The sequence below is a fragment of the Homo sapiens genome, chromosome 2, assembly GCF_000001405.40.
Source record: "Homo sapiens chromosome 2, GRCh38.p14 Primary Assembly".
Classification (NCBI taxonomy): Eukaryota; Metazoa; Chordata; class Mammalia; order Primates; family Hominidae; genus Homo; species Homo sapiens.
The window spans coordinates 82,474,022-82,499,978 of record NC_000002.12 but is presented as its reverse complement, the minus strand read 5'-3'; positions in this window follow the sequence as shown (position 1 = coordinate 82,499,978).

The following is a 25,957-nucleotide window of genomic DNA, read 5'->3' as shown; positions in this document are numbered from 1 at the left end:
TTATCACACACTGACTTTGTGTTGTAAGCATTGTGCATGTATATAAAATGTTAAAAGTTTCTCAATAAATAGATGTTCTTTTCGTACATATGCATCTGTGAAGGATAAAATTTTTTGAGATCTTGGCTCTTTGGGTGAGTGCACATTCAGTAGTTACCCATTGCAGTTTTTGACTGATGTCATTGAAAGAGGGGTTTTTCTTCATTAATGGCATCAGTTATAAAGCTAGGTGCACACACTTTTCAGCACGGCAATATGCATTTAAACATTTTGCATTTTGACTTATTTCTTTTTTTTTCTTTTCTTTCTTTGAGACACGGTTTCACTCCCATTGCACCAGCTGGAGTGCAATGGCACAATGTTGGCTCACTGCAACTTCCACCTCCTGGGCTCAAGCAATTCTCCTGCCTCAGCCTCCCAAGTAGATGGGATTGCATGTGCATGCCATGGCACCCAGCTAATTTGTGTATTTTTTGTAGAGACAGAATCTCGCCATGTTGTGGGGGATTAGTCAGAGTGGTGGGAAAAACTATAGGGAAAGGATGCAAACCTTGTGAAAGGTCAGAAGGCTCTGCATAGCTTCGGGGGAGAATAGCTGAAGGAAGCTGTTCTATAACTTTGAGGTAGAGGGCAAGGAGTAGGTACAAAGGAGTATGGGGAAATTTATCTTAAACAAGCTTGTTTACTTATGTTGGCCAGGAACTGATCTTTGATCATCTGCATGTGTGACTTTCCCTGAAAGGGGAACAATAAATGTTAATTACCTACAGGTTGTGTTGGCTCCAGGTTTTAGGCATTGTGCCTGCACTGAATACAAGCAAGCAGCTCCAGGTTCTCATGACTGATCTCTGTGTCTGAGTACTCATTTCCTCCGTCGGCCAGGGTCTGTGGGACAGACCCCCGACCATGTTGCCCAGGCTGGCCTGGAACTCAAGTGATCTACCCAGCTCGGCCCCTCAGAGTGCTAGGATTACAGGCATGAGTAGTGGTGCTTGGCCCTCATCTATTTCTTTATCAATATAACAGTGCAACTGTCATTAGTATACCTGAGTTAGTATACTTGATTGTCTACGCTTGCAAAGTATGTATGTTTCTATTGCCTATTTTATTGTGCAAAATAATGTATGAAGTGTTCTGTTGTGATTTTTATATGTTTTTCAAATGGAAATAAATGTCCCTCTTAAAAATGTAAATAAATGTCTTAAAAATTTTGAATTATTTTCACTGGAATTATATTTTTGGGATTTTGATCTTTTGGGATTGTGACTCTCTGGAATTTAGATTTTGGGGGTTTTGATATTTTGAAATTTCAGCATTCAGAATAATGATGTTTTGGATTGTGTCTTTCAAGATTATTATCCAAACTCCTCCTCTATGAATTATTTTTATAGTTCATATCCACCACTTATTTTGGTCTTTACAAAAATCTGTTTTAAGACGAGGCCTCAGATCTTTATATTTTCTTTCAGCTTTACCTTTTTCATAACTCTTATCACAATCTGCCGTCAGATATATTGCACTTATATATCTTATTTATTGTCTATTGTTTCCAAATAGACTGTAAGCCTCAGAAAGGTAAGAATACATATCTGCTTTTTTTAAACATGATTTCCCTAGTCAATAACATGTAGTTTATAAGTATCTGTTGAAAAATTGAAAAACTAGTCACTCTTCTAGTGATGGGAATGTATTAATGAATATAGTGGGTAAAGTTTTAGCCCTTGGGGAATTTACACTCTAGCATCAAGAAATAAATTTTAGGTACTGCGATAGGTACTATGAAATCATGAACAGGAGTACAATTTTGTTATACATAAAAATAATTCAGAGGTCATGATCAACTTCTTGAAAATCATGAAACCTCATAGCAAGTAAGTGGATAATAAACAAACACCCTATAGGTAATAACATGCATGAGAACAATTAGTCACGAAGAATCCTGTTCCTTCTACCAGAAGAATTATGTTTCTAAGTAATTTCTTGATGATTCATTCTCCAATGAGCTTTCATTTTTTTAGCTTTTGTTTATTGTCTGACTCCACTAACATATGTAGTCTTATATTTTAACTTACATAAGTGTGTTTAAATGTTGTACCATTGCCCCCCAAATTATACATTTTTAAAATGACATTTCCTTCTGTCTGTTTTCTCCCTAATATTACCTCTGCAAGTGATGCAGCATATTTGCTTGACCCCTTCGTAGGACTTGTGACGGGGTTCCCTGTTTATTCAGCCTGCCATGCTCATCCCTTCCTGGGATGGACCATGTAGGCAAGGGAGTGCGGGAGACAGCTGGCACTTTGGCGCCCACAGGAGCAAACTCCATGCAGGCCCTGCAGCAGTGTCCAGGTGGGGATGCCTGTGACCCCAAGGCCCCACAAGGTGTGTTACAATGCTCTCTGAGCCCTGCATCCACAGACAGCAGTGTGTTATCAGCTCAGTGGGCCCTTTGCCTCATTACATGGGGTGGCGGCCCTCTGTCAGTGAGGGCAAAAAGCCAATGTGCCAGCCTTTTGGGGTACTCAAACTCGGTGCATCCCAAATTCTTTTCCAGTAAAAATTTCCCTTTGAGCCAAACCTAGATTAGAAACATAATGAGAAGGGATTTAGGAAAACATGGTTCTAGTTTAAGTAGTTCGATACATGTCAAAATCGTAACAATCTATCCTTAGTCAATTTGGCACATACAACTCTTTTAACTATGTTACTATCAAATATGATTAATATTACTTACTACTATACATGATGACACTATAACTGAAAAATAAGTGTGTTAACTTTCCCAGCTAAAAAGTATAAAATATTTCTATATCTATATTTGAGTATTATCAATTTTTTTTGCTAAGTTGCACTTTGTAACTTAAACACTAATATATAAGATCAACTACTACTAACACATCTTAAATAATAGGGAGATGAGAGAGAGAGGAAATTAATGATAAATATGTTGACAAATGTATTCCTTTGAAATAAGAACTCAAGGATTTTAGTCCTTGTTTTTGGAATTGTTTATGTGGTTGCAGTAGTCACTTATGTAAGCACCTTACTCTACCAGCCATTCCATATTCCTTTTGTCCTCAACAAGAACCCAGGCTGTATTTTAGTATTGTGTAGGGTGACCCAAATCTTCACTTCTAATTAATATGGGCTATTAGCAGTCCTGCTTGTATTGGTTTGTTTTGGTTTTCCATTGACATTAATCACAGCACATGAATACAGTAACAGCATTCCAGGAAATTTCCTACATTCTAGGCTTCCTCCTCTTCAACCCAAATTAGTTACTTCACGTGGTTTCTTCTTAATAATCACAACCAATCACCTATGCCAATAGAATAACTTTCATTGCCCAATACCTCTAGATAACAAGAATGGGTTGATCCACTGGCATGTAGTGGTTTAAAGTTGCCAAGTGTTAGATTTATCTTCCCGTTAAGTGGAACCATTGCATGTCCCCTGGTGAAAACATTTCTCTCGTGGTAACTAAGACCTCTCAACCTGCAGAGCCCAAGAAGAAGGAAGAGATAATATTTTCTACAGATATAAAAGAAAAAAAAGAGAGCACATCCCATTTCTATTCCTTGACTCCTGGACTTATAAATTCTGGTTATAAGAGATAGAGGATTTTATAATAATGACTGGATTAGATCAACTATAGTCCTGAAAGGTGACATAACAGAATATTTAAATAGCCATTTTAATCAGACCACTGATTCAAGATGATGGAAAGTGTGATGAGGACAGTGAGCTTGATGAGTGTGATCACATTTTATATACAGAATTGAATCTGTATCTACATATATGTAGATACATATGTATATGTATCTTATGTATCATTGTATATATGCATATGCATGTACCTATGTATATATACATACACTCACACATATATTTGCCCAAAATTAAATAAATTTATATTTTGACTTTGGTGAAAATTTAAACCAATAATTTATGTTGCAGGATAATATTTTAAGGAAAAAGAAAAGTGAAGAGTTCAGATGCATGTTATTAAAGTGGATATATCTGACATACTATTTTTTATAAAATAGAAATGCAAACATATGCTGCTGAAAATTTTTCTCTGTGAAAAAATTGTCTGGAGAAGAAGTATAAATGCAATTTAATTTTTGATTATTTATTTAATACAAATAACTCAATGGGACAATGGAAATGTTTTGTTTTTATTTGGAAACAGTAGAAAAATTTGGTGATCTTGTGAAATTATAAGTGATTTGGAGGCCATTACATTTCTTCTGATCTTTCCTGAGATGATATACAATCACAGGAAGAGAGAAAATTGAAGCTTAGTGTAAACATTCCACTATTTTCACTTAAACTGCATTTGTCTAAAATGACTGATGATTTCCATCTTTTAAGTAAATGATTCAAAGATACAATACAAAGTTTGCTTTCTGTGGGAGCTGCTTGCAATAATAATTGAAGTATTGAGAGTTAAGATAATGTAGAGTTATAATAGGTATATATTAAAGTCAGCAATATTAAAAAATGCTATAATTAGCTGTCTGTTCTGATTGGTTTACCAAATTCAGTTCATATTTTCATAATACCTGTACTCTTAGAATCTTTAAACCAACCAATTTGTTATTCTTGAAAGTTGTTCAATTAACATGTTTGACATATTTACTAGCTTATTTTATTCACCTGATATCCTTTATTTTGTATTTTGGAAATATATACTTAGCTCAAGTATATGTACTGAACTCAATAATCTATAAATAGCCAAGGGTTCTTAAAAATTAAAATCAGTTTGGTTTAATTAGTGGACCTTCAATATCCTATACGAGTTTGCTTTTCCACAAGAATGTTCTAAGTTGCGTGTTTTCTCTAAATGTAATGATTAAGAACGTACTCTTTGCCCCCCAGCCGTCTTAGGCTTGTTTTATTTTTTTTAAATCTGAAAATCTCTAAAGAGCAAGCAATTTACTACGTGCTTCTGTGCCTTGGACACAGACATTTAAACTATTTATCACTCTGTAGCTGTCACTGAAGGAATAAGCTGTACAGGATTGTACTGCCAAGTAGAGAACCATGGCTTGGAACATCTTGATGCTATTACGTGCCACTGGATGAAAGCACTGCCAAACGGGATAGGGAAGGATTCTGTAAGCCCAGAGAAGAGAAGAAAGAGCATAAGCAATGGAATTGCCTATAATAAATAATGAATATTTCTGCTAGTGAAGAAAAACAGGAAGAAGAAAATATTGAGGTTAAAAGTGAAAATCAAACAGAAATATATATATACATGTATATATATATATAGGTGTATATCTATACACCTATATATGTGTGTATATATATATATACACCTATATATGTGTGTGTGTATATATATACACATACATATATAGGTGTATATATATACATACATATATAGATGTGTATATATATATACACATACATATATAGATGTATATATATACACATCTATATATGTATGTATACACACTTTGGCTCATTTGGAAATTTAAAAAGCTAGAAACTAATTGTTATAATACCCTCCCCCAACATCAACAGAATTGGCATACCTTTTTTCTCTAATATGTCAATAGTTTGGGAAGTTTCTTTGATAATCAGATATATTAAATCTCTTTCATTTTCTTTCTTGACAAAAAAAAGATTCTGTATGTTTTCTTCATGCCTATGCTACCGATTCAAGATGAAGCTGCAGATGGAAATTATGTGGGCATGCATAAAACTTTCTAGAATAATCAAAAGAGGATGGTATATGGTTACCATAGGTGTCCAAGATCAAAGTATCCATTATTTTATATGAATATTATTGTCATCATATGTATCTTCTCTGGTGCCCAGAATTCAGTGGTACAACAACAGGCATGACTTGATTTTGTTGTGTTCGATATGAAAAAAAATCTGGTTGTACAAGAAAAATAAGAAAGCATTTGAATTAAAAGATAAGGTCACATTAAATCAACATTTAATCACATTTTGCAGAATTCTCTGATCTCTGCTTAAGTGGTAGCAGATTAACATTAAATTTGCCTTCATAAACATTGATTTCTCTTTGTTTCCTGGAATTAGGCACTATTCTAGATAGGTATTAGCATTAATTTGACAATATTATCTTTTAGTAGGGTCCATTTTTTTGTTTTAAACATTTTGATCTCGTCTCTCCTATATTTGATGCATAGAACATATTTAACATTGACTTGTCTCAGAGGGGAAAACAAAAAAGTAATAGTAATTGCAGAGGGGAAAGGAGTCAAATGAACTTGAAACTATCAGGAAAAATTTTGTGGCATATAAATGGATTCTGGAGTTAGTGTGCAAAATGGTAGAAGTATCACATGAATCCTCCAATAATCATTGTTTCTAATGGGAAACAAATTCAAATTATCATATTTTGTCATTGCACATCTACTCACCTTGTCTTTCACTCATAGTAGGTAGATGTACAGTCATGCTATGTTTTGGCCAATGACAAATCACATATACAATGATAGTCCCATTAGATTATAATGGAGCTGCCCTATATAGGTGTACCCCTTTTCATCTTTCATACTGTGTTTTTTCTGTACTTTTAGAAAAGCTAAGGTATGTTTAGGTATGTTTGTATTCACAACTACTTAACATTGTGTTATAATTGCCTACAGCATTCAGTACAGTCACATTCTGTACAGGTTTGTTGCCTAAGGGCAACAGAATGTGCCATACAGCTTAAGTGTGTAGTAGGCTATACCATATAGGTTTGTGTAAATACATTCCATGATTTTCTCACAAAAATGAAATCAGCTAATGACACATTTCTCAGAACATATTTCTGCCTTTAAGCAACACGTCTTTATTTATTTATAACTAGAAGGAGATATAAACTAAAGAAGATAATGAAATGTTACAATGGAAGATTGTATTTGTTTTAACTCATATTAATGCCTGCTAATTTTACAAACCTGAATTCTCTCCATCTTTAAGCAACACATGTCTGGCTATCATAAAACTTTTATTTAAGTGTATCTTCATGAATGTATCATATTTCTATTGCAGTAGATTCAAATGAACACAAGAAAAGTCATATGGCTGTGTTAAGAGGAGAATATGATTGTCTTAAGCACTTGTTAAGGAGTTGATATAAGCGGGAAGTAATTTGTACATTTAGGAAAAGCAGCCTATTTCTAATATAAGGCTATGAGTTACTTCATCTGACTAGATTCTCAGCTTCTTTATATCAATAACTGCATGGATTATAGTACTGAGGTTCTGAGCTGGCTGTAGATTGACAGGTTTCCTAGAAGGGAAGGGAGAGTAGGGAAAGCACGGAAAGCAGATCAGTGAATGTGGGTGAAGATACACCAGTACAGAAAACATATACTGGTTTTTATTCTAGCTTTAATGAGTAACATGCATGGAGTCAGAGTTTGGGTTGAATATTTTCCTACCCTCCTGCAGTTGTTCCAATCTAACATACTTTGTCTGTCATACTTTGTGTTTTAAAATTTTTTAAAACTTTTGGTAGAAGTTGTCTTCCCCAATTTTGTTTGCTTGTTAACAATTTCCTGCAGGAATTCTGCATGCTTCTATATTTTTAAAAGGAAAATAAATAGAAACACTGTTTGTTTGCAGTAAGAACATCGATTAATTTTACCTATGTATCTGTCTCTAAATCTGGTATCTTTGTGATATTTTAGAAAAGTCATATTTTTATAGGTACATGCAACCAAAGTTGATATTTGGTTTAGAACTTATGACATCTGGTCAATTAATTTGCTTCAAACTTTGATAGTCACATTCATATTAGTCATATTTAAAATATAAATAAAATATATCTCTTGATATATATTGAATATATACATAGAAATATATAAAATACATAGAATTATATTTTATTTATACTTTAAATATATATAGACCATATATAGACTATAAATATATAGACATATATGTATATAGAAATATATACATTTATCTTCAGGCTACATAATTTCTAAGGTATCATTTTCTTAATTAAATAACTTCAGAATGCTTTCTTCTAGATTTGGTTGCCTTATTAGTTAGTTTATAGTGGAACTGCAACCCGCCCAATACTCCCACTGACTGTTCTTGTTGATAATCATAGAAATTGACCCTTCTGCTGTTAAAGCTTGAAACTTGTATTTGTTTTATCTGAGGTCCTTTCTCAGGAAAGCACCCTCAGTCCTCTCATAAAAAGTATCAAGGAACTGAAACTCACCAGACCACAACACCAGATGCCCCTCCCTAGTTCTTGTTTTCTTACATATTGTTACATTTCTTCCTTGCTATATAAACCTCTAGTTTTAATCAGTTAGGGAGATGGATTTGAGACTGAGCTCCCATCTCCTCTGCTGCAGCACCCTATTAAAGCCTTCTTCCTTGGCAATACTTGTCTTCTCAGTGATTGCCTTTCTTTGCGGTGAGTAGCAGGACCTAGACTAAACCCCTGGTGTTTCAGTAACAGAACTATATTTATACCTGCAATTATTTGAATTATTTTTATATTGCTTGAGCTTTTTAATAGCATATTTCATATTTATTTTTAGAAATCTGCATTTCTTATTTAAATGTCCTGCATATTTTTTTCCAATTGTTCTTAAAGCCAATTTTACAACTAAATATGTAATAATTGGAGCAGTGGTTTTTCATGAAGTAGAAGAAAAGAAAACTAAAACAAGTTATGAGCTGACTAGAAGAACATACAACCTTCTGCCAAATCGACAGGGGACAATTTTTTTTTCAATGACTGCAAATAGCATTGAGTGGAAAAATCAGGTTATTGGACAATTATTCTATAAACATGAAAACCAAAGTTTGCATTTATTGTCTTGTCTGAAGACAAAGAAGCAGTAAGTGACATGACCTGTGCTTAAAGTCCTTTGACCAAAATTTAGAGCATACATTCCATGGCATTTCTGTATTAACTTTCAAATTATTTGTTACATAAATGGAAGTTTAAAAAATATATTAAAAGTTGACAGTAAGAATGCACATTAAATAAAATTTTATGGCAAAATGTGGATGTTTATGGTACTCATGCAACAGACAAGTGGTAGAACAAATAAACCTGATAAATATGGTCTCTGAGAAAAGATTTTAGATACAAACTTCACTTCTTAGTATCTTTATGTTCTTTGCCAAAATGTTTTCAGCCTCTCTGACTTTTTGTTAAGTCATGAGTAACTAGAACACACCCAATTCATTTTATTATTTTGATTAAATAATAACGGTAAAGGGCCTTGTTCAGTGTCTCCACATTGAATTCAAAGGCAATGAAGGGTTTGTAGAAACAAACCACTATCTCTTTCAACAACTACAATTTTTAGATTAAACATGAAAGCCAATGAATTAATTATGCTTCCAATTCACCATTTTGGACAGCTACTTTTATTATTATCCTTACATTCCAAGAAGGGCTGTCATCTTAAAAACTTAACTGCCAGGGTGTGCAGTACAAAAATCCATTGCTGTTACTATAAGAAATAGGACATATACACCATGGAGTACTATGCAGCCATAAAAAGGAATGAGATCATGTCCTTTGCAGGGACATGAATGAAGCTGGAAGCCATTATCCTCAGCAAACTAATGCAGGAACAGAATACCAAACACTGCATGTTCTCACTTACACATGGGAGCTGAACAATGAGAACACATGGACACCATGAAGGGAACAACATGCACTGGGGCCTGTCAGGGAGAATGTTGAGGGAGAGCATCAGGAAAAATAGCTAGTGCATGCTGGGCTTAATACCTAGGTGTCGGGTTGATAGGTGCAGCAAACCACCATGGCACACGTTTACCTATGTAACAAACCTGCACATCCTGCAAATGTATCTTGGAACATAAAATTAAAAAAAAATAGTAACATGTATATGGATTATGTTTCTCAGCACACTACTTGTAAATTTAGTTACAGTTAAAAATAGGGTTAACTTGCAGCTGGTCTGTGATTTGTCTATGCTTATTTCTGAGATCCCTGAAACCATGGAACTGACCCTTAGCCAAGTTTAGCATAAAATATCCTAGCAGCAATTTATACTATGCTGTTTAAAGTCTGAAAGTCCCCTAGAAGATAACTTTACTAGCTTGTCTACATTATTTATTAAAAATATACACATTGATGGTTTGCCTCTGGCTTAACAAATTATAGAGTTGGCTTTAGAAACATGACCAGTAGAAAACAAAAAAAACTCCTCAATAATCTTGTGCTTTTGCTCCTTGACATCCAGTTATCTCACAGGTATCTTGGTGATTTACTAATTCAAATGCAACAGAAATATTTAACAACTGAAAAAAAAACATGCCCTGGTGAGTCATGCCTGAAGTCTTGGGACACTTTTTGTTTGCCTCACTTTCTCTTTTCTAATGCACCATGCCATCTGCCATTATTGAGACTGGACTATCATGAGTCTTTTAAATTATTTGACCCTATGTAATTGCTACAAATTTCAAACAAAAATCATGTAAATGTAATACACGCTTTTACTTTAAAGCCAGAAAATACATGTTTTCCCTTGTTAATGCTTAGATAACTTTATTTTTAACTAATAAAATGATAATACAGTTTTCATTGGTTGAAAAATTAAACTCTTAATTTCCCCTTTCCTTATATTGTACAACTTTATCATTTTTTCCTCATCCAGAAACATAAATGGAGGTAAATCCAAAGTGTACAACAAAAGAAAATTAGACAAATAAACAGTCTGAGTGATAGACATGAATTGGGGCACTTCTATATTATGAAAAATGAATTAAATTACCTGTTTAGCACTGGTAGGCCAATTTAAGTTTTAATTTTCTAAATAAATATTATTTAGTTGTTTTAGAAGGACTCCAAAGAAATAAAACATTTTATATTATCTGCAAAAACCATTTACAACCAACTGAAGGCATAACATTTCAAAGTTGGACGGAGAGATAAAATAATATTCAAAAGGCAGAAGCATTTTGAAAAAGAACTATTTTATGGCTGAAATCATGAGTTCAGCACTTGATATTCTGGTGCAAGACTACTGGACAGAATTGCAGATGTGCGTTCAGTACACAGAGGTCACAGCTGAAGCACTTACAGCTGAAATTGAGTAAGGCATGTATCTACTTATTTGCGCAGTACTCTTGTGAATTACTCTTCTATTTATTTCCACAGTACTTTTGGGCATTACTTTGGTATTCCTCAATGTTTTTTAATAAAAGAAAGAACAAAGAAGTTTGACTTGTTCTTGTGCAAATACAGCTTAGATGACATTGTATATAGGATAAAGTTACCAGTGTCACAGGTCATTTTTATTTAGCCCAGGGTAAAATAAAAAGGTGAAAAATCACAAAGGTTGGCATTTTATTAGCATTTAACACATTTTAATGTCAACCACATGTACACAACTCTATGAATAGAGAGACTGGACCACGTTTACATATACAGGAAGTGCTATTAGATAGATGTGTCTATAAGGATAAGAGTCCTTCACAAGGAAAGTTGATGAATATAATTTGTTACGTTACTTATATTTGTCAATTCTTTATTTTTATATGAGAATAATTTTTTAAAACAGTAATAGATATTAAATGATATCTAGTCTAACTACTATATAGAAGTTTGAATTTTTTGCGTCTTTCCTGTTTAATGAACAACACAAAAATAACCTCCATCTGATAGCAGAGAAATGGGAATTCATTTCAAATGTTCTTTTTTATGCTTATGAGTAATTTAATCTGTATTTTAAATATAAATTAATTGTGTTGTTCATTTATCAACTCAATCAATTTGTCCATGGGCATTTATAAAAATATTTTCTTTACTGCAATGTGCTAGTAAAAAAATCACAGCTATTGTTTCTAAAAATCTCGCTAATTCATGTATCAAAGTAACATCAAACGTTAGAGATAAAAAATGCTTTTTATAAACATATACACATTGATGGAATTTAGTTTTCTAGATAAGAAATAATCAAATCAAACTATGTAGAGAATATGGTAGCAGCAAAGCCTTAAATGATAACAGAAATGTGGAAACGGTCAAGTAAGAGAAAGATCTCTTATGTAAGTAACATCTTTTATTCCATGGACGCAGAAAAGAAAGTTGACGTTTTTTGTTCCACTGAGACCCCTCACTGTCCTTCATGATCTCTTCTCCAGTGTAAACTCTCCTGATGTTTTTAGTTTTTCATCATATCAAGCATTTCTGAGTTCCTTTAGAATTTTGGCTTCTCTCTTTGATTCTATCTTCATTTCTCTGGCAAACCTAATGAATATATTTCCAGGTAGAGGAGAATATGAAGAAGATGATCATGGAGGAATGGAAAATTGAAACCTGCTTATTTTTGTTAAAACAAAAACTTTAGACATATTAAACTTAACAGAGTTTATTTAAGCAAATAATGAGTCAATAATTGGGCAGCACTCAGACCCAGAAGAAGGTCAGAGAGCTCTGCCAACAGCTTGAGCAGTGAGCTTTTATAGACTCAACACAAAGATAAAGTAGAGAAATCACCTGATTAGTCACGACTAGGTCTTTGCATTATTTGGGTACCGTGTGAGAGTATTTGCATTATTTGCATGTAGTCTGATCAGTTGGCTGTCATTAGCTGAAACTGATCGGGCTGTTTATAATTGGCTGAAACCTGGCTATTTGTTACTATACACATACACAAAAGCACACACACACACACACACACACACACACACACACACTCCTAAATTGTTTCAGTTTGTTTATGTACAACACTAGGTTCCAGTTTGTTACATAGAATTCAAAGTACAGAGACAGCCTTAGGCTAATGACTTCCTGTTTATTTAAATCAACACTTTAAATGTAATTTGTACTTACTTTTATCTCCTTTGTAGCTTCTGTTCTTCTTTAGTTTAATAAATGTGATTAAAGTCAAACCTCTTATTAACACAACATACTGTAAACTATAAACATAAACATCTTCAATTCTCACACACATCTGTGGACATTGATAACTGTGTCAAACCAAGCTCTCCTTTGCCTTCCCTAAGAAATTTTCATTGTTACTGATGGAGGCAGTACTAACTTGCGAAGTCAAGAACACAACTTCTGCATACAAGTTACTCTGAAAATGTTGATCCTGTATTAGCTACAAAGTTGTTTATTCCCCCCACCATGGAAAAAGCAATAGGTTTATTAATCTCAATTTGGCTGTAATTCTCAATATACATAATATATAAACATAAGGGTTAAAAATTTTCAACAGTGACAATTTATGAAAGCAAAATATCTACGCCACTTATTTGGGTTTGACGTATTTTGACTCAAATGTTCCCTAACCATTCTTTTATAATTAAATGAAATCCTTGACGTTTCTCATAACTCCAGCATTGCAAAACTTTTTAGAGCTCTGTGATCACTGTGCTCTGAAAATAGCAACTCTTTCATCTTTCTTTTTCTCTGTGTGAGAACTTCAGTGTTGCCAGTCAGATATTTTGATTTTGCCATTTTCTAAATCAAATAACTTCATTTCTTTTTAACATCATTCTATTTCACTTTGTGAAAACAAATCAACAAAGTGCGTCTGCTTCTGTAATTTGCTCTGTTGCTATTAATTGTTAAATGATTAATCCATATTTAATTTGACAACAAATATTCTTGTAAACAAATAGTAAACATAAAACAATATTCATGGAAGTATTTTCAAGCAATTTGCTAAATATTTATTTTGAAAAAAATAGGTTGCTTATGTTTAGTATCAAACAACACAATTATAAGAACACATTAAAATAAATTATTTTGTACACAGTATTTAATAGGCAGTATTTTAAGATGCAAAATGAACTTCTAAAATCTAAAAGCTTCCACTTTGAAGCCAGATTTAAAAGATTATTAAAGTAAAAATTGTGGCTGTTTCTGGTCATTTGTTAAGATTGGCAGATGACGTAAGTGAACTATTAAAAGCCATCTATCCGTCTGCAGCCATTCGTAATATACTAATCATTTAAAATGAATAGTTATATTCATGGATCATAGTATGGTGTTAAAGCAACACAATCAATGCTTGATTCACATATGTGTCAGACTGCTTGATGTAATTACATATAATAACCAGAGGCCCCAATCATCATCACAGCTTGTAGTTTCAAAAGATAGAAGAGAATGTGGTTATTACTGCACATCCAGCCTCCCTTAGGGAAGACATATACATCATGTAGTCAATGAATAATTGCTACACTTAATATAATGACATATGGATCCAAAATAGCCTTTTAATTTGATCTTAGCAGATATGATCATTTACAATGAGTGTGAATATATATGTACATTTATAATTAGTGTTTTTGTGAATATGTATATATATGCCTATATTTTATACATAATATGCACATATAAATATTATGTATGCACACAAATGGAAATAATATACATCTATACAAACATAAATAATGATTTATCCACTTAAAAATACATATATGTACATTATGCATTTGTCATTAACAAGAATCACTAACTTGATTTGACATGTACAGAATGGGAAACAGTGGTTTCAAAGCAAAAAGAAATTAAAAAGTCTTATGTACTCATGAATTGCTTTATTTTATTATAACAGATTTTATCAGAATTTATGTTTCCAGAGCACTTTTTTAAACTGTGAATTCTTTAGTGCAGTGGATTTATGTTTATCTTAGTTATATATAATGATTACATTCCTCTGCTTTTGCTGCAAATTTTCTCCTAAGAATTGCAAGTCTTTGAAAGTATTTTTTCCAAGAGATATATATAATATTTGCTCATTTGTTAATTTTGTAAAAATACGCCAAAGTAGAAAGGCAGCACTCATTACTCCACTATTAGAGGAAGTCAAGTTTAACCATCCCTGAAATTTGCTTCTGTTTTTGTTTTAATTTCTTTTGATATACATAGATTATTTCCATTATTTTTATGATTTCCCAGATAATCTTCCCAAAATACACTGAATTAAGCAAATACACACATATTTATTTACATATTATTCATATATTTAAACATTTTAATATTTTATATATCTGTTACACATTTTTGTACATACATAGAACATAATGTTTTGATATGCATAGTGAAATAATTGCTTCATTCAAGCAAATTAACACATCTATCATCTTCCATAATTCCCCTTTTTATTGTGAAATATTGTAACTATAGACGTCATGTTAGACATTTGATCTCTAGACTTATCTATTCTACGTAAGTACAAGTTTGTGCCTTTGAAATGGTACAATATAGGTCAAAAGGTACAACTTCTAAATTATATATATATATATATCAACATATATATATAATTTTTAAATTAAAAAATATAAACATTTAAAAATATGTAAATGTGTATACATGTGTGTATATGTATGTACGTCAAACAATTTTTAACACACTTTTAATTTAATAAACCTTGTTTTTTAAGCTAATAAAATTCAACGCATATTTGTTCAGCAAAATCTGAAAGCAAATGCCTGAAACAAGATGAAATAAAATACTTCCAAATGGACTTCTAACACAAGATTAAATAGCTCTGTGAGTTTATAAATGCTTTGTGTTCTAAACATGTCATAATAACAGCCAACACATAAAAGAGAAAAAAACAAAAGTTAATATTCACAATCAAAGCAAAACAATTATTTTCATGACCTAGACATGAAACAGAAATGAAAATGTGTAAACAGAGTTTGAGGTAAAGACTGAAAGTTTGACTGCTTATGTGGAAAACTGAAATAAAAATATTCAATATTGAAGGAAGATCTAAGCCATGCTCACTGCAATTGAAAAATTTAAAAAAGCAAATAAAATCTGCTGATTAGTGGTGAATCTTATTAGAAATTGCAGACCAACAAATACTGACCCAAGACACTTAACGTGTCTCTCACTGATATTTAGAGACAAAAGAGAGAGGGAAGGAAATTAAAAAAAAAACTTTTTCTGAAAATGAGCTTATTTTAAACTGTAGTTGTCTAAATTAAAAAAACATCAATGCCCAATGTGACGATACAGACTAACTACAACTCTTATACTTTACTGGTGTGAGTGTAAGCCATAAACCATTTTGGAAAGCATGTTGGCAGTTTCTTATACAATAAAATATACACTAACCATGTGATCCAGAGATGCAATTTTAGACTTTTACATTTACATACAAACATACATAGTAGCTTTATTCATAATAGCCGCAAGCAAGAAACAACCCAAATATCAGATAATTGGAAATGGATAAATACAATTTAATGGCACTCAGCAATAAAATGAAATAAGCCATCCATCCAGGGCAGAATATTGATGAATTAGAATATATATATATATATATATACATATATATATATATATATATGCACACACACACACACACACACACACACAATCTAAAAGCCAGAAACAGAAGAGTACATAGTGAATAGTCCAAAATCTAGACTGAACACAACTCATCTATCTTCATGGAAATAATCAATGGTTGCCTAGTTTGGCAGTCGCCAATTGATTGCAAAAGAGAATGAAAGAACTTCTGATGATAGAAATATTTTGTATCTTGAATATGATATGAATGCATATAATTGTCAAAATACCAAATTACATGAATGCATACAATTGTCAAAATACCAAATTGCATATTATAAATGTGTGTATTTTATTGTATGTAAATTATATACCAATAAAAGTTATTCAAAAATGCATAAGGGCAGAGTTGAAGAAGCTGTGACGATTTAATGATATGCTAATAGTTCGATAGTGTACTATATAATAAAATAGTAAAAGATAATATTGACTTTCAGGATCCAATTTAAGGACTCAAAGAAACTGAGAGGAAAAAAGGGAGAAAGAGAAAGAGAGAGAAAAAGAGAAAGGTGGAATGAATTAATGAAGGAAGGAAGGAGAAAAGGAGACAGAAAAAGAGGGAGAGAGAAGGAAAGAAAAAAGAAAGAGGGAGGAAAGCGGGGAGGAAGAAAGGGAGGAAGGGAAGAGAAGAGGAGAAAGAAAAGGAGAGGTGAGGAGAAGAGAAAGAAGAGGAGAGGAGAGGAGAGAGGAGGGGAAGAGGGGGGAGAGGAGGGGAGGGTAGAGGAGAGGGAAGAAAAGGTACTGTAATTTTTCCTAACAGGAGTCCTGAAAGAAAAGAACGAAAGAAAACATGTGAAGAGATACATACTGAAAATTTTAGAGAAGTGAACAAAGTATAAATCCTGATATGAACACACTGTAGGGCTAAATAGTATAAAAACAATTAAATATATACTCAGACTTACTTACTGAAACGGCAATTCAAGGAAGCTAACAGAAAACATGTATATCCAACAGAGGGTAGAAAGAAAGATTACCCACAAAAATGGAGGACAGACCTCTCATCAGCAACCAAGGACACCAAAACATACTGAAGTAATTGAACAAACACACAAAAACACTCACTCTTCAATTCTACACCTAGTCATACTATGATGCAAGAGTGAGAAAAAACAAATTTTCAGTATAATAAGGCAAAAATCACTTAAATTTTATAGAAAGTCAAATAGGAAAAAATGCTAAAATTATGCAGTCAGATCTGTTATTAAGTTTGTTTTAAAAACATGAATATGTTTCAAAGCAATTGATACACTGGGGAATAATCTGAGAGCAACACAAATTTTACATTTCTTCACTCTATGCATGAGAAACACTGGGTAAATTAAAAAAAAAAAAAAACTGCACCCAAATGAATCATGGCACATGGAAACACACAAACTTCAAAAATCCATAGGCTCTCTCTGTAAGCAACCACCTCCCTCTGGTACAACTTTCTTTCTGATTTCATAGAATCCATTTCCACCACTTAGCAATAACTCAAAAGTTAAAACCCCTCTTACATCCACTTTGACAAGCAAAATTCAGTCTTTTTCCAGGAATGTGCAATATGTATTATAGATCTTATGTATTTCTTAAACACTGATCATGTATAAAACTATGCCATCATTTTTATTAGATTCCTATCATTTTTATGATATGTGTGAGTATTGTGTCCTAAATTCCATTTTATACAAAAGTCATTTATTTTTTATTGCACAATTTTAAATAATGTTGTGAATTTTATGAACATATATCACCTTGTGTCAAAACTATTTGCATCTAATTTTAGTACATGAAAAATTAAGCAGAGTAATATATGGAAAAACTAAGCTTAAAACAGGTAAAATATGCTGATAAATGATTAACTATTAACTGATGTTACAATGCCTACAACTTAGACTGTTTCATCATTGCTGCTGTTAAAAGTGCATGTGTTACTATAAGCTACACTTCAGTGGCAGAATGCATTTCTGATCAGAATATTAGCATATTACTAATAGAGTGGACACACGGCATTATCAGAAATTCCATAGTTGGTGGCAGCTACTTAAACTCTCACTTTATTGTTAACTCCAATAAACACCAGATATTTTGTTAATTAGCCTGACAAGTGTCAGAAACAGGTTTTTATTGGTGAAATTAGGGTGTTGTGAATTGGCGTAAGGACACTTTAAATGAAAATATAATGTATACTACATCCTCACTGAAACAGTTTAAGAATCTATTGAAGCTTATAGTCTGCACTCAGGAATGGTGCCTAAAGCTTGACATGTAAATAACTGTGTCTAAACTATGGTTAAGATAAGTTGAGAGTGCTTCATTCTATAAATGGTGACATAATTGTGCATTGGGGATATTGCTCTGTGTGCTGGCAATGAATATGTTCTGCAAGGTGGTAATCTGAGTAAATCAAAGGACAAGAAACTGGGACTTCAGGTTAACAGAATGTAAATGTATGAATGCCATTTTACAAAACAATTTACATTTGAACGGAAAAAGATATTCTAAAATTAACTCATTCAAACCTGGTAGCAAGGTTCTATGTATCAATTATCATCACAAATATTTTTATGACTACCATGATAAATAGAATAAAAATTTTGTGAATGGTTTGGTTTAGTTCACAACTGTTAAATAAATAATAAAACAACAAATATAGTGCTTTATTTTCAAAAGGTTAAAACTAAACACTTAAACCATAAAAGCAAGATGCAGCTATTGCTTAATATAAAAATACAAATAATATGAACTTCAGAGAAAGAAAATAAATATTAAGAAACTTAGAATATAAATACAATGTACAATAATGCATAATCAATTATATAATATATAATAGAGTATATAATAAAACCATATAGTTCTGTGTGTATTTTAGATATTATGATAATCATAAAATAGAAGCAACACGGTGAATATTTTCAAAATACCACGGGAAAGAATGGAATATTAAGAGCTTAGTCCCACAAAAGATTACTAAGAGAAAATAAAGTGTTGATAAAATAAACAGACACATATTCATTCTAAATTGTTAGTGCGATATATCACATTCTTAGCCCTAATACTTCACTTCTACCCGTATTCACATCTTTTACCATGGCTCTTTGTGTTTCTTTCCATTAAATGGGAGAAATTTATTTCACCACCCCCTGTGTTTTGCCACTTTCTTTATTAGAAGACGTCTTGGTAATGCTCTGGTTGCCAAGGGGAGATAGCAACACACATGGAGTAATCCCACGCTAGGGCACAGGTCCTAGCCAAACCCAGCTGGGTCAGGCAACACCCAATGGACCCACAGATGCACCAGCTAAACAAGGGAAATGTCATGTTGTTAGTTTAGCGAGCCTTGTTACACGGCAATAAATGACTGATAGAATCCATAAGTATAATTTCATGTAAAAACAATTACTTTTATTATTAATACACAAATATCCAATATGATCAAATTGGATTTACAATTATATGATATCATGCCTTCAAAAGACCCAAATCAAAGGCACATGCCAAAACTAAAACTCAAGAGAAAAAAAGTTATAGAAATGTCAAAGAAAACAAGCTGAGGGAGAAATTCTAATATTAAAAAATAATTAATTTAGGGAAGAAGCATAAGAGAATGTGCTGGAAGTCTTCTATTTTTTCCTTTCATACCCACTTTCCTTTTCTCCACTCTTCTGCCTGTTCCAGAAGGCTGAGCAGTGTAAACTATTCACCAAACTTCTGTGTCCTCTCTCCTCCAGGTAGATTTACCTTACAGTGAGTCCATATAAAATACTGGAAAAATGCAAGAGAGTTGAACCAAAAGATGGTTTCCTGTGTCTAGTTCAGCTTGAGCTGCAACAGTTTCTCCCAAGTGATGATCACGATCACTTTCTTTGTGGCCACCTCTACATGACCTTCGTGCCCAGTATTGCTCCTTTCACCTGTTCCCTGAGGCAAATAGATGGTAACATCTCTACTGCCACAAGTCACAGGGTATTAAACTCACTCCACACCTGACTTCTATTTTTGAAAAAAATTTTGAGGGTACCTAGTATGTGTATATATTTATGCAGTACATGAGGCGTTTTAATAGAGAGATACGACATGCAATAATGCATCAGGGTAAATAGGCTACCCAAAACTGCAGTCAGTTATCATTTGTATTATAAATGATCCAGTTATACTCTTATAGTTATTTTAAAATGTACAATAAATTATTGTTGACTGCAGTCACCCTGTCATGTGACCAAATACTAGATTTTATTCATTCTAACTATATTTTGTACCTATTCACCATCCCCACTTCCCCCAACTACCCTTTCCATCTTCTTTTGTACTCAGTCCCTTTATAAGCAAAACTTTTTAAATTGTGCTACTTTAAATATGTATTCCATTTCTTTTTTGTACAATTCCTAATACAGAGAGTAACTAATGGAAACAGCTTCAGGAAACAGACTTAAAGATGGGTTTCATCGATTGGATTGAAAATATATTTGAGAGCATTGGAGATATCATTCTTGCTGTGAGAGATGGAAATAATACATGTTGTGTGTTGGCAACATGGTTATTCAAATAATTACTGGTGGAAGCATGAAATAAAAGGTGAGTGGAAAGAAAGGAACAGAAGGATTGAGTGACTGTGGAGATTGGTCACTATGACAAAAATGATTTTTATAAAACTGTGTTCTCTGGTTTCTTCTGAGGGATTTAAAGACTCTATATTAAGAAAACAAAATTAAAAGCTGCAAATACATAATTAAAATACATATGGCAAGCAAGAAATCTTCCTTGTCAGTATTGTAGGAGTTCCTCAACTCCTACTGGTGCATCCAGATGAGGCTGAGGGCCACGAGCCTGGCAGCAGAATTGCAAGGCTGATTAGTGCTCAACCTTATGAGTCATCTTACACTGAAGTATAAGGGCACTGCTGGGGAAGAAGAGAGAACTAGGACATGGCATGGGAACATTTGGGCAAACATGAATGAGGAAGTGAACTGTGAAGCTTCACACTCCTTTCAACTCGCAAATAAAATCCTTTTAATGACTATTCCTTGAGACAACAGCTTCTTGAGCTGTTACTGATTTACTTTGGATATATTTCTATCACCTCTCATTCTATGTCCATAATGAGACATAATCCAAGCATATTTCTCAATTCAAGGGTTGATCTTCTAGGTAACTTACTAAGAGCTTGGACTAAATGACGGCCTGCCATGAAGGTGAAATGCAACAATCTCCGTGGCATAAAAAAAAGAGTTACAATGACTCGGGGAAAAGGAGATGCTCAAATAGATTTGTTGTGGCAGGCAAGCTGCTCAGCACTTCCATAGTCACACCCACGAAGAGGGCCCAGAGAAGGCTGTTCCCTAAGGCGTTAAGAGATATGCTGGTAATGGGGGAGGCATTGCCATTCCTGGGGAGATTGGTGGTAGTTGCACACTACATAAAAAGACGAGAGTTGGTGATACTTCAGTGGGATTTATTCCTAATCTTAGTCGAAATAATGTGATGCTAGAATAACAGAAGCCAGATCTGATTGTTAGTTATCCATCACAAAGAAGGTAAACGTAATTACAGTATAGATAATGAGGACAAATAGCTACCGGAGACTTTTGATTCTAAGGGATCTTGGGAAATGGCCAATTAAACACATGTTCCCTAGAAATAAAATAATGGGCAGCCTACAAACATTCTATATGATATAGATAGAAAAAAAACATCTAAGTCTGATGGACAGATGTCTAAGTAAAATCATTACTGTGGGGATTCACAAAAGTCTTTCCATACTTAGTTCACAGGCCAATTTATAGAGCTGTAAAGAGTTAATTGATTAGGATTCTGTGTCTATTTTAGGAAGTATCCTTTAATAGACACACAACTATATCCTATAAATCTTTCCCCAGTTTGCTGAAGGGAATCTGGAGTGATCCCCTAGGAAGAGGGAAATAATAAGATCTTTGTTATTATTAGAAAGTTACTAACCAGTAAGAGTTAAGCTTTTAAATCTGAACTTATACTTATCACTGGAAATCTGAAATGTGAGAATAGCCCACCAGTAGAGATTTAAGAAGATTATGTGGCAGGTCAAATTTGGGATCTAGCATATTAAAAGGAATTGGAATATGCACTAAAAATATGCCACTTTGGCATAAGGTTTATTCTGAGCTAAGGACAATTAAGAATCAATAGTTACAGGAAGAGTTCTCTACCCTCCTACGTACCTAAATGCAGGATATTAATTTACTCTTGTGAAGGTAAAAGTAAACTTAAATTTCTTCCCTCTCCCATACCAGGATGAAGAGAGAAACCCAAGACAGAGAGCAGGATTGAAGATGAATCTGCATAAACAAACTATACTAAAATAACCCCTGTCCTACTCCATTTGTGCTGCTATAACAAAATACCAGAGACTGGGTAACTTATAAAGAGCAAACATTTATTTCTTACAGTATGCAATCTGCAAAGTTTAAAATCAAAGTATCAGCAAAATTGCTGTCTGGAGATGGCTGCTCTCCACTTCCAAGATGGAGCCGTGTTACTGCATCCTCAGAAGGGGAGAAAAGCTGTGTCCTCATGTGATGGAATGGATGGAGGGGCAAGAAGTGTAAGCTCTTTCTGAAGCCTCTTTCATAAGGGCATTAATCTACTAATGAGGGCAGAGCTCTCATGACTTAACCACTTCCCCTTAAGCCCCACCTCTTAATAATACCTAAGTTTCAACATAAATTTTAGAGAGGACACCACATTCAACTCATAGCAGACGTTATGTTTTCTTAGTTTCCCCATATGTTTTCTTGTCATTTTCCTATAATTTTTAGCCTTAGAAAATCAAGTCCCTTTCCTTTGTCTAGACAGCTCTCCATAATTTACTGCTGTTTGTTAAAATGGTTAAATTTAAAATTAAATAAAATAAATATAAATTTAAAATTAAATAAAAATGGATGCCTTTTCTTCTGTTAATCTATCTCGTTCCCATTTAATTCACAGGCGCCAGGTACTAAGAAGATAGAGGTTAAGGTTTTTTTTCTGTCAAACAATATATAATAGTGGGTACAATAAAACTATAAATGTACTCTATGGTTACTTGTTTGCAAAATATATAGCTTGAACATAAATAGTTAATAAGTGACAGAATCCCTGCATTTCTTTCTGGCACATGGAGTGAGCCAAGTAACAATAGGAAAAGCCAAGTTGGGGTTCTTAAAAACTTCAGATTTAGTTTTCACCTTTCTCCTATGTATTTTCTGACTAAAGAGATAAAACTAGGTGGCCTTTATTAACAAAGTGCTTTCTGACCGAGTTGGCCAAAGAGTAGTTTCTGTGGGAAATGAAGGGAGGGAGGAGAATGAGACCTCTTAGTAATAATGAGACCTCCTAATAATAATCTGGCTATCCTCCTGCAAATGTACTATGATGGGCCTCAAGTCAGCCTCTTCCACTTCTTCTCATTAGTCTGTACTAATGAGTCCTCTCTTAACCTTGGGTTCTTGCACTGTCCATCAAAGTTTCTCTAAATTGCTCCTACATCTTTGTCATTAGTTGTGTTTTCAAATAATTCTATTTTCAACTACAATGATTAGAGTATAATCCTGTTTTTTCTTGATGCTGACTGATACAGAAGAAAATTGTATAATAGGGAAAAGAGAAAAACACTAGTACTGTGAAATATCATGTATTTTTATCCCTGTACCTAAAATGAAAGTCCAAAAAGAAAATAAGAAAGACTATAGAACCGAAAAAAACAAATTCAAACACAATTAAAAAGTCTAAATGGTTACATAGAAAGACAAAATTTTAGTAACTCAAGTTCTGTGTCTTTGCCTTTACAATCACTTTGGTGTAAGCATTTATTTCTAATCAACTACTTAAATGTGGGACTATGTAATACCTCTGGAATTGGAGACACAAGGCAAGCTCTTATGATTTTGGACCATTTGTAACATACTCTTGAAACAAAAGCATGTATCTAAGTCTGAATATTTTGGGAACCAACTATATAACTAGGAATTCTCCATATTAACTAACATGTAGAACACAATATTAATAAAAAATAAGTTATAAAAATATATATTTAACAAGAAAGTCTCTAATTCTAAACCAAAACTAATTCAATAATAAATAAAAAATTGATGTCAGACTAACAAAAATGATAAAAGTATAAAAGCTACAAACTTCTTATTTAATACATTGATTTTGTAGAAAAAAATTCTGCATTCCACAGCTAAAACCATAAATTCTTTACAATCACACTTATAAGATATTTAAAAATGTTTGGCCTGGCACAGTGACTCACACCTGTAATCCCAGCACCTTGGGAAGCTGAAATGGAAAGGATCATTTGAGCCTAGGGGTTCAAGATTAGCCTGGACTGTAACACAGTGAGACTTTATCTTTCAAAAAATTAAAAAATTAACCGAGAATGGTGGCACATGCCTGTGGTCCCAGCTATGTGGGAGGCTGAGGTGGAAAGATCATTTAAATTCAGGAGGTCAAGGTGGCAGTGAGCTATGATCTCGTCCATCTTGGCTGATTGCACTCCAGCCTGGGCAATAGAATGAGACTCCATCTCTAATAATAATAATAATAACAATAATAATAATAAATTAACAAAAAATAAAAATTGTCATTCACCATTTCGTAAAACTACTTGCTCAGTAGAACTCAGTAATACTGATTGAGTCAAATTTATACAGTGTAGAAATTGTAAAATATGTTTGAAATAAATTTTATTCATTTATTCAATAGAAATTAATTTTATTCATTCATTTAATAAGATAAATTTATTCATTTATTTAATAAAACATATTTATTAATAAGAAAATTACAATGCAAAATATGTTATTTAACAATAAAGTATTGAAAGAGAAAACTAAGATGAAAAATCTGTGTTTGTGTTAAATACATATGTTAAAATGCTTATATTAAAAAAAGATGAAATGAACAGAAACTCAACTAAAGAATGTAAATTTTAAAAAAGATGCAAATAAAATTTTAATAACAAATATGAAATTTATATACATGTATTTAATCACATGAAACTAGTAAAATATAAACCTAAATATATAAAGTAAGAATTTTAGCAGTTTCTGACGTAATTACTTAAATAATACTAAAGCAGAAAAAATCAGAAAATATGTGGGATATCTATGCAATACTATTACCAAGTTTGTATTAGAAATATGTAGAAGCCTATATCCCACACTTAGAAATTATAACTCCTTGCTTGGTCATGGAACATTAATAAAATGTAGACATATTACAACCTAGGTATTAAACATCAATAACAGTGAAGAAAAATGAAAGAGGCAAATTAATTAGAAAAGAAAAAAAGAAAAGTTTGAATCTTTAGAACACATGCCTGGATGTATAATAGGTATCAGAAGAAATTATAATGGGAATTTATTCAATATTTCGTAGCGAACAAAACAGGAAACTAACAGATATAAACATGAGGGAGGAAATTTTGCTAACATGTTAATTCAAAAGAAATTCACGTTTATTCGTAAAAACGATGTGCATTTTTAGGTTAGACATTCAGAATCAAGAATACAAAGAAAGAAGCAACATAATAAACCCTCTGAAGAGGAAAAGATACAGATTAAATTTTATGAACATGCATTAACAAAATATAAAATAAAATAAAAGGGAGATTCAACACAACCTAAAAGATTTTTCTTGAAATAATAACATTAAAATAGACAAAAGAAC